The sequence below is a fragment of the Homo sapiens genome, chromosome 2 (genome assembly GCF_000001405.40).
Source record: "Homo sapiens chromosome 2, GRCh38.p14 Primary Assembly".
NCBI lineage: Eukaryota > Metazoa > Chordata > Mammalia > Primates > Hominidae > Homo > Homo sapiens.
In genome coordinates this window covers 147,127,690-147,139,197 of record NC_000002.12, presented here as the reverse complement: position 1 = coordinate 147,139,197, position 11,508 = coordinate 147,127,690, and positions in this window count along the sequence as shown.

Sequence of the window (11,508 nt, the reverse complement as noted above, 5' to 3'; positions counted from 1 at the left end):
TTTCAGCTATTCTAGCTTAACTTTTCCCACCATGTTTGCTGTCTACTCCAAGTGAGTGAATGCTCGCATCTCCTTTCTTTCTGCAAATCTCATCTTTCCTGAGATGTTTGGGACTATTTGTTGTGTCTCACGTCCCTAATGGGTTCAAGAAAAAGCATAAATATGAAGTCTGGCTCTTTTTCATTGCAAGGGTAAAAGTGATCTCCTTTTCTATGGTTCTGGGAAGAAGCTAGAATTATATCTTTGGGATTTTTAAGAAACTAGAATAGCTGATTTCTAGTAAATGGAGAAGAGTAGCCAAGAAATGTTTAAAAAGAAAAATAAAGGAAGATTTGTATTTCAAACATTGTATTACAAAGTTACCTTATTATATTTTCAATAATATCATTTTATGTGATACAGCTACCTTAATTGAAACAGTATGATTTTGGTACAGAAATAAGCACAACAGATCAATAGAACAGGATTGATTTTTCAGAAACAGGCCCTATAAATATGATAATGTGATATATGATAAATGAGATAATTCAAATCACAAGAGACACAAATTATTTACTAAAAGATTTAGAAACAATTGACTATCCGTTAAAATATATCATATTTTCTATATTATAATATTCACAATATATTCCAAATATACTAAAGATCTAATTATAAGGAAAACTAAGAATAAAGGTATTATATGTATGAAATTATAAGACAATGCTTATGTAATTTTGGCATAGGGACAACCTTTCTAAAGAAGGAACAAAACCCAGACACTACAAAGAAAAGGACTGAGCATTTGAACCAACTAATAATCCAAATTTTAAAACCTCTATATAACACAAAACACCATAAATAGAGTTTTAAAACAGTGACAGGACAAGAGAAAATATTTGCCTTGTCTGTATGACTCCACAAGTTAATACAAACATTACTAAATAGCCAAATAAAATTATTGACCAAAGATGTAAATTAGCAGTTTACAAAAGAACTGAAATGACCAATAGACAGAGGAAAAGATACCCAGCCTCCTACTAATCAGAAAAAATAAAATAAAAAACTGATGAGATTTTGGTTTTTACTCATAAGGAGTCCAATTTTTAAGCAAATTTATAAATAATTGTTACTGATGACAGTATGAGAAACTGAGCACTTTTATATACTGTTGATGAGAAAGCATGTTTAAAGCTTTTAACTCCTTAAAAGTATGTTTGTTTTTTCAGGAGTTCAATTGAATAGTATTAATCACAGTTTAACTTATTCACTCCCTGGATTCCTTTGGTCATAAGAAAAACATCCTATGTGAGTTTGCTTATGCAATTCAAGCAAATTATCGACTGAACCGAAAAATTCAATTGAAAGAAATTCAGCAAAGACACATTAGCTTCAAGTGAGTCTTGATAAGCAAGCACCCAGTTTCCTGCTGATTCTCTGTTCTCCCTTTTATCCTATGCTTGCCTCCACCTGTGATCTGCAGACGATGCTATGAGCTGAGTTATGTCCCATCAAAAGTCATATATTGCAGTCCTAACACCTAGGACCTCAGAACATAACTGTATTTGGAGATAGGGTCTTTAAAGAGGACATTAAATTAAAATGAGGTCCTTAAGGTGGGACTTAATCCAATATGAATGGTTACCTTATAAGGATAATTAATAAATGCGGAAATTCAGACACAGATACACACGGAGGGAAGCACACACAGGGATACACACAGAGGGAAGACGATGTGAAGACACAGGGAGAACATAGTCATCTTTAAGATAAGGAATGAGGCCTGGCACAGGTCCTCCCCTCATGCCCCTTAGATGAAACTAACTCTGCTGACACCTTGGTTTCTAGCCTCTGGAACTGTGAGAAAATAAATTTATGTTGCTTAAGCCACCCAGTTTGTGGTTCTTTGTTAATGGCAGCCCTAGCAAACCGATACAGATGGTATTTGACATCTCCCAGGGCTACGTTTTTCCTATATATGTGCAAAAAAGAGTAAGTATCTCGGAATTCTCATCAAAATTCCTGAGTTTCATTTGATTAGAACAGTTTTAAGGTGTGCACCACCTTCTAAATCCATCAGTCTTATCAGAGATAGTAAATGGGCTCATTGCCTTAATTCACAAGCTCTACTTCTATTAGAATCTGATTCCCAGATGAAAAGAAGTTGAGTGGAATATGAGGGTTATTGCAAATGGGAAGCAAAGAAGGGATGCCAGGTGAATGTCTTCTCTGTTCTTTGACCTGCAACCACTCTTCTCACTAACTGAAGGAAATGCCGACATATGTGTCCAAAGGGCCCATGTGAGCTTTTTATTACGCTATTCTTTGTTACTGTGTGAAACTGGAATCAACCTCAATGACTGCCAGTAAAATAATGACTGGCTAATCTATGAGAAAACCACAGAGTGGATTAGCATGCCTTCTATGCAAATGTTAAAAATAATAAATTATATTAACATGGTTTGAAATGGAAAGATCTGCATGACCAAAATGAAAAATCTGAGTTCTACACAATATCTACATTATGGTGATAATTACAAAAAGCAAACTTACTGTGTTTTTGCATGTGCATGTAAGTATTTATGTGCATTTTTTTTTTTTTTTTTTTTTTTTAGACGGAGTCTCGCTCTGTCGCCCAGGCTGGAGTGCAGTGGCGGGATCTCGGCTCACTGCAAGCTGCGCCTCCCGGGTTCACGCCATTCTCCTGCCTCAGCCTCCCAAGTAGCTGGGACTACAGGCGCCCGCCACTACGCCCGGCTAATTTTTTGTATTTTTAGTAGAGACGGGGTTTCACCGTTTTAGCCGGGATGGTCTCGATCTCCTGACCTCGTGATCCGCCCGCCTCGGCCTCCCAAAGTGCTGGGATTACAGGCGAGAGCCACCGCGCCCGGCCTATGTGCATTTAAACATGTCTAGAAGGATATCCACCTAACTGACAACAATGGTCATGTCAGAGGAGAATTACGATAATTGATTATGGGAGCTTTTGCTTTATTTTTGGTTTTTAGCTAGTTATGAAATTCACTTGGGTAATTATTGTTTGTGAAACTAAAAAATAATAAAGTGCTTAGTACTGTGTCTGTAATATAATGAGTACTTACTAACTTTTAGCTATTATTATTAAGGATAGGTAGGCATGTCCCAAATCACATTTCTGCCAATGTATATATATTAGAGAAGGGAAAACGGTGCCCGGCAACTAGATTACATATGTGTGATATGTTTACGTGTGGGTGTAAATGCACAGTATAGATATAGAAAGTCCCTCATCAAGTTGGTAACCGGATTGTCATTGTGTGGGAGCATACAGAGTAGGGAGGGGAGAAAGGTGGCCTCTGTTTTTGTTCCGCCTGTTGTATTTTAACTTTTCACAAATATGCATTGTTTTGGTACCATTTGAGATACTCAAACCTACTTATGTAATCCTTGGTTTGCTTCTATAATCTATATTCTCATTTACTTAAAAAAGAATTTCAGCAAGGAAGAGCAATGTGCAAAAGCATTAATTTGAGCTCTGTTTGTGTTCCTGTATTTCAGTCTATTAAAGGAGAATGAGGATTGTTTGTCAAAGCAGGACCAGCTGGGATTCGTTGGCTGACTCCCAGATGCGACTGTGAAGAAGCGGATATTGGGTGCTCTCCCACCTCGTCAGGAGCAGCGTTCTCCTGCCTGCTCTTGGCACCCCCTAGCATCCTGTGCCCTGCTAAGGTGTTAACTGACAACTGACAGATTTTACTAAGAGCCTACTCTTCCCAGTAGTATTTTCACTTCAAAAGTTGACTTAAAAACTTAAAAAAAAAAAGTCCTCTGAGAGTCAAGGCATAAAGTTTTTCCACTACAGCTCATAAATAGGATCACAGCTCTACCATCTTCAAGGCAAATAAACAAATGCTCCCTCGACCCTGGAGATTCCATTAGCTACCATCCCATGTTTATCAATTTTCAAGCAAAATTTTCAATAGGAAATTTCATTGTCTCTTCTACTAACTGTCCAATCATTACAACGCTAATGAAATCAAGCTTTCATCTTCTCCCCTCAAATTGCGCTCTTTAAGATCACCATTGTTAAGATCTAATTGCCAATCTGAGGGACTTTTCTTCAATGTAATTCAGTACTCTTTGGGAGAGTTGTGTTGCAGCATTATAGTTTTAAATTTGTCTGTCTGTCTCTCTCCCTATCTTGGAGGTGTAGTTCTTTATGTCTGAGTCTCTGCCTCAACCGTCTTCATAATACTGTTGTCTTACATAATGCTTAGCCCATGTTATTGCTTACAATATATTTGCTATCTGATATCTGTTGAAAGACTAAATGATTTGGGAGGACCAGTGCTGGTCACATAGTTGAATTGAATAAAATTTGTGCAAAGGCCTGACAGGCGGTGGAAATGTTAGACTGAGGAAGGGATTTTTGAGCAGGTTAATTCATCTATCAGCCCTTCAAAAATTCTACCCACCCACTCTTAAGATTGGCTCTGATTGCACAAATTAGGAAAATACAAAGGTTTACCCTGGCTGGAGCAGGAACCAGAATTCATTGAGGTTTGATTGAAAGAAAAGAGTGGCATCTACAGTATAACACTGAGTAAAGCATGGAGGTCAGAGAGGAGGAGAGAGTTATTCTGACAGCAGAGCAAGAAAGTGATTCTAATGCCCAAGGTTTTAATCAGACATTATATTAGGTAGGTACGAAAGTAATTGCGTTTTTTGCCATTCCTTTTAAGATGGCAAAAACCGCAATTACATTTGTACCTACCTAATACTCATTCCTACGTTCCTTTTAATGGCAGAAACCGCAATACATTCCTAGCTAATACATTCCTTTTAATGGCAAAAACCGCAATTACTTTTGCACCAACCTAATATTTCTACACCCCAAAGACACAGGACAAACCTTTTCAATAATGTAAATATGCATAAATTTCTAAAGCAGTGGAAGTGAAGATGGCCTTTAATCACTTTTAACGGCATCTCTAAGCAAGTCCTGAGTCCTGCTGAAGAGATAGGTATAGCATCTCAGCTTTGCACATCCTGAGCTCTGCTGAAGAGATAGGTACAGGATTTCAACTTTACACATCAGTTTTCAAAACACTGTAGTAAAAAATCCTGCTTCTGAACATTCCCCCACCTCTCATACATCCCCTCTACTTTTTGACCCAGGGACTTCTTGTTTTTGTCTTACTATAGTTCAAATCCTGTTTTGGGGGTGCTGGGAAGGGATAGTGCATAGGGGAGAAGGGGGCACACCACCCAAGGGATAAATTTGCTAAGCTGAACTACAAGTAACTTTCCTTCCATTGAACACCTCCAAAATTAGACAGCATAATTTTACATAGAGCCTGCCCTGAGTGTAACAGAAATAGAGTCATTGTAATAGAAACGTGTCATAAGATCAATGTCTCCCACTTCTAAAACAAACATCTTGGCTGTGCCTCTGTGTTTGTTTTGGCTTCAGAAGCTGAGTCCTTTATCAAACAGTAGGAGACTATTATCTGGTGATAATGTATTTTGATTCTATTGTTATCTTAAAACTGGTTTCTTCTGGGCCCATCCTTCTGGTATGTTTGTTTAATGACATGTTTAAAAATCTTTGTAAGAGCTGTATTAAAATGACAGATATTTTGTGTTGCCAACATAAACCACAATCTCCAAGGCTGGTGATAAACTCCACTCCTGGCCTCAGCTACTGTAGGCTTTGAAGCTCTTAGCTGCTTTTCAAATGTTGGCATCGTTGTCAATCATTCTGTATCAACCTTATAGTTTGTGTGAGGAAGCCATTTGTTAAATTGCAGCCTCCTAGACTCAAAGAACATTTACCAAATGCTTTCAGATAAAATGCCATCTTATTCTGTAAAATACTGGGAAGCTCGCAAAGGGAAGAAATACTTGAGGGAAATAGCAAATTGCAGGAGAGAAAAGTGACATAACGCATTACTCTATTCTCCATTGCACTTTTGATAAGAACTGAGAACAGCACTTAATTCCCCTCTCTTCTGTGTGTGTTTGTGTTATTCATTTGACTAGATAAAGCTCTTTGGGGCAGGGTACACATACCATACTGGTGGTCTCAAAATTATAAAGGAATGGCCACCCCACCATGGTAACTCCGTGTGGTGACTCCTGAGCCAAAGGAGCATCTCTCTGGATTTTCCTCATATTCTATAATCCTTTCCTCTGCTTTTGAGTGACCCTACTCTTCTCTAAGACTAGAAGGTCTTCTAAATTATGGGAAAATGTATGGCAGAGATGGTGAAAGGTCAGTGAATATTCCTTTTTTTCCCCCCAACACTATCACCAGTCTCCTGCTCCAAGGTTGCCTAGTAGCTGGTCCCATAGTCCCATTATATTTTCATAAATCCTTTTTGTATTTACCCCTCTCATCCTGTTATTTTAGTCAAATATGCAAAAGATGCAGATTGAGGATTCCCTCTGAAGTGCCAACTCAAATGTCTACCATTGTCACCTGCATTTTAACTTACAGGATCTAAGCTAGTGGTTCTCAACCAGGGAATAGCACAAGTGCACAAAGTGGCAAGTGAAACCTGAGTAATACATCTGTCAATACACAGTGCATTATGTTTGTTTACACATAATATGATATAAAATTATTTCTGCATATATCCTTTTCAAATGTATGTTTGCAGTAGGTGAAACAATATATTACCAGTTAATCACTTCTATACACAGAAATGGAAATTGCAAATCATCTTGCAGCAGAGTTCTCTCATTATAGGAAGATTTACTTGAGTAATTCTTCTTAGTTAAGCAGTTGCTGGGCAAGAAAGTGCCATTGTGCTGGGGGAATCTTTTTTTTTAATTTTATTATTATACTTTAAGGTTTAGGGTACATGTGCACAATGTGCAGGTTTGTTACATATGTATACATGTGCCATGTTGGTGTGCTGCACCCATTAACTCGTCATTTAGGGGAATCTTATAATAGAAACAATTTTGGTCCCTGGCCTCTTGGTTTTCAGAGTTAGTGTTTGGGGAGAAGGATGAAGAAAAGCCACGAAATTGTTTATGAAGGATGGGGTTAAGATTCTAACCTCTTATCTCTGAGATTAGGAGTAAGGGAAACCTACCTGGGTGGACAAAGCTAGTTGGTGCTAAAGGATGCCAGAAGTCCTAGAGAGGCTCTGACTATAAGTTAAATGGCTGGCAACCTCATCTCAGTATAGATTCTGGTGCTTTTATAGGAGATTAGAGCTAGTGTGGCATGTGTCTGAGCCAAGATGTACCTGCAGGTCCTGCCACCCTTTGGAGAAGAATGACTGAAGGTACTAGGAGTCTTGTTTGAGGAACTATGGAGGTGCTGACAGGAAACAGAATGACAAAGGCGTCACTGCACACTACATTCATGTTCCTTGTGCCACAGGGTATTATTGTTCAGTAGCAATCATTCAACGCCAATATGGCAGTGGTCATGAACCGGTGGGATTTTACAGTTCTTTCTCCACTTGGTGTTTAGAAGGACATGGTATATTTTTTCCAAGTAAGCCCAAATATTATCTAATAGGATTCATGGAAATTTTGCTAATAGAAGCCTATGGAAATTTGATGATAAATTGAAAAAGAGTTATTACTATATTTGTATCCCAAGCTTATAAAGTGGGTAACACTACTTGAATATGCATACTACCATGATTTGAAATATTCAACATTATTTAAGCACACTATTGAATACATAATAGTCTTTTGGAATTTTGTATTTTATTAATCAGCAGATACCCTATGGGAATTTGAAAGTTTATCAGTATAAATAAGGGATTCCCATTATCAGAAGGAATTACTGAATTAAGAGGAGTAGCAAGCAAACAACCTTAAACTTCATATGAGTTTTCCATATTGTTTCTACTGCTCAAAACTCTTAATAAACACATTTTTAAAAGGCTGTACCTGATCCAGGGGCATCCTTAAGGAAAGATCTGGGCTGCATTTTGCTTCTGGGGGAAGGGAGAAATTCTATTTGAAACAACCAGTGGGAACTTGTTAGTCTTTAGAGCCCTTAGAAGAAAAGCAAGAGGTGACAGGTAGCCAGATGTATTAGTTTGCTAGGACTGCCATAGCAAAAACACCACAGATTGGGAGGCTTAAACAACATAAATTTATTTTCTTTAAATTCTGGAAGCTAGAAGTTCCAGATCAAGACGTTGGCAGGTTTGGTTTCTCCTGAAGCCTCTTTTCTTCACTTGAAGATGGATCCCTTCTTTCTGTGTCCTCATATGATGGTCCCTTGGTCTGTACGTGTCTCTGTCCTCATTCCTCTTCTTACAGAGATACCAGTCTCCTCTGTAAGGAGGCCCCACCCATATGACCTCCTTTTGCCTTAATTATCTCACTAAAGACCCTATCTCCAAATCTAATCACATTCTGAGGTACTAGGGATTAGGACTTCAACATAAGAATTTTGGGGAGGGACATGACTCAGCCCATATCACCAAGTGAGACTTTTAAGACAGGCCCCCAAGTATGACAACAGCAAGGTTCCAGGATCCATAGTTTTTCCTCCTTGGGACTTGATGCCATGTTCTGAGCTCCCAATAGCCCTCAAGTCTCTGAAATCTCAGCCTTTGCTGTGTTGAGGCAGGGCTGTTCAGCTCCTGTTGGAAGGTGAAGGAAGAAGGAGACATAAGGAAGACACTGGCTCAGGCATACCGACTTGGAACTGGAAACCAGTTTTAATGTGGAAACACTTTTCTATGTCATGATCAGTTTCTTTTAGATTATCAATTTTCTTTTCAGATATGTAATTGGATAAAATGACTTTCTAGAGTTGGCTGATTGTTTGCCACAATAACATTGTATATATGCTTGCTAACTCACAAAAGGTCAAACAACTATTATTGATAACCTAGTCACAGATGGAGTCTGCCTGTACATCCTTTACTTTTCCCTTCGAGGTCGATTATAATGCTTCTTAAATATGTTTTGATTGATTACTTTTTGGCTCACAGACTTTTTGTAAAACATCTTCAGGCTGCCTCAGGCTGTGAGCAATTGTGGAGGATGGTCAAGTTATACAAGAGGGAGAACTGACTCTACATATTTTTTAAAAATTCTGGTAGTCATGACTCTGGTCAACTAGATTGAGCAGAGACAAAATCAACATCAGATTCATGAATTCATGCAAGAATCCTTACAAGAAAAATGATTACACTTTTTCTCTTAACAGAAACAGCTGGTGTCAGTGATATGGATGGCTGAAGTTTTATTTGTATGACAGCGGTTGGTATAATAGCCCTTCTGCTTCTTACATTTAAAATACCCCATAGAGAAGCTTGCTACTGAGAGAATGGCAAGACAGGGGCCTTAAACTCCAGAAGAGGCAGAAATCCTGGGAAAGCTCCTCTTCTTGTATTGAACTAGGGAAGGCTGTTTTTTTTTTTCCACCCCTTAACGGAATCCTCCCATGACTTAACCATTTCGAAGAGGACCTGTAAGATTTTCATAAATATAATTGCTTTTCATTTTTCCTGAAGAAATAATAAGAGAAAATGGGCAAAAAAAAACTGAAGTGAAGGTTGCATTAGTCTTAGTGAAGACTAAGATATTGAATGCTTTTAATTTGGTTGTAGTTGAAAAAGTTTTCTTCTGAAGTTTCTTGGGGAAATTTACTTTTAGAAGGGATTAAGTAATTCTACGGCTGAAATAAGAATTTAGGGTATTAAAAAATAAAGCACCTTGCCTTATGGATCCTTTATGGCCCTCTCCATAAAGAAGAATTAATAATGATGATACAATTAGTGGCTATTTGCAATCTGCTAGGTATTGGACATACATTATTTAACTTAATTCTTATAATTTTCTACAAGGCCTATTCTTAGCTCTCTTTTTATATTAAGAAAACAAAGGATCCAGGAGGTTAAATAACTTCCCCATGGTCACAGAGTTAATGTGGTAGAACCTGAATTTGAACCCCGAATATCTGGCTCTAAAGCTGGCGCTTTTAATTATGCCCTTAACTATTGCACTATCATGTCATAGCTTGCCCCTAAATGTTGCCTTCTCTCTTTTGATCTAACTCTTCTCAGCCTTGGCTACTTAAGAAATAGAAAATAATGTAAATTTACCCTCCTCTGCCTACCTTTTTTCACATTGTTTGGCTCCATATTCTATATAACTCACTAGTTCTTGCTTCAAAACTTACAATTTTGAGGAAACCAAGCAAAGAAATAAGGCTTTTTAATACCTGTTCAAAATCCAGTGTGTTTCATCATTCATTCACATCTTCATTTGATATATATGACCACTCATCGGTCACATTTAGAGCAGCTAATTTGCATAGTTTTAAAGTACAAATATTGATTCTTTTAAGTAGCTGTTCCCTTCTTATATTTTTAAATTACGTTATCTCTTCAAGTAGATATTTCACAGAAGAAAAAGTAAATATATCCACATCTATCTTCATTTGAAATGTGACAAATGGATGTATCCTGGAAGCTCCTCTATTTTGTCAGTTAGTTTTCTTGATGGTGTGACTGGAAATAGCACTAGATTACAATTGGATTACAAGAGAGGAAGATTAGAATTTAGCAACTGGTTTTCAATTCTTTTGCTACTTTGGATGTATAAGAAAAAAGAAAAGGCCATGAAAACTTCTGACTCAAAGATAGAGGCTGTACATTCAATATTATTTACAAATAGTAACATTTTAATGAACTAGACGACTTGAGGGATGGAGAAAGTGCTTGTTAATGGACTCTCCTGGCAACTTCAAGATTACCCATTATGCTCTTTATTTCATTCTTATGATGTTACCATGAAACTTTTTGACTATTCTCTTTTATGATTGATATCTTGGAGTATACCAGACTCATTGTCTGAATAGCAAAGAGAATATAGAATTTAACAATGTAAATAATATCAATCCCCAACAGAATCATACAAAATGGAACTTGCACAGTGCAACTGCACTTTAAATTTATCCCTTTCCTGCAAGTGTCTGCTCCATTCAGTTGAAACGAGTAGTCAGTGGCCAAAGAAGTAAGGTGGTTGTAGCAGTACAATATCTGGTTGTGGTATTCATAGTACTTCATGTTAGCTTTGAGTGACGGTATTTATGGAGTTATCCTTTTTTAGCATATGTATGTTTTTAATTGAAGCTTGACCCTAGAAAGAAAAGCTATCCCCAGAATCTTTAAAATTGCAGCAGCAACTATATAATATACTATCTACATTCAGCCTGCCATGACTTATTTCTACCATCACACGTGAAATGCTATCTTTTGATGAAGAAATGGGAGAAAAGAGTAACATCCTTTAATTTTATGCAATAATGAGTGCTATGACAAACTGTAAATTGCTAATATTTTTTGTAGCTATTGTAAAAGGGATTGAATTCTTGATTTTATTCTCAGCTTGGTCGTTGTTGGTGTTTAGCACTGCTATTGATTTGTGTACATTGATTTTGTATCCCGAGACTTTACTAAATTTATTTGTCAGATCTAGGAACTATTTGGATGTGTCTTTAGGGTTTTCTAGGTAGATGATCATATCATTGGTGAACAGCAACAGTTTGACTTTCTCTTG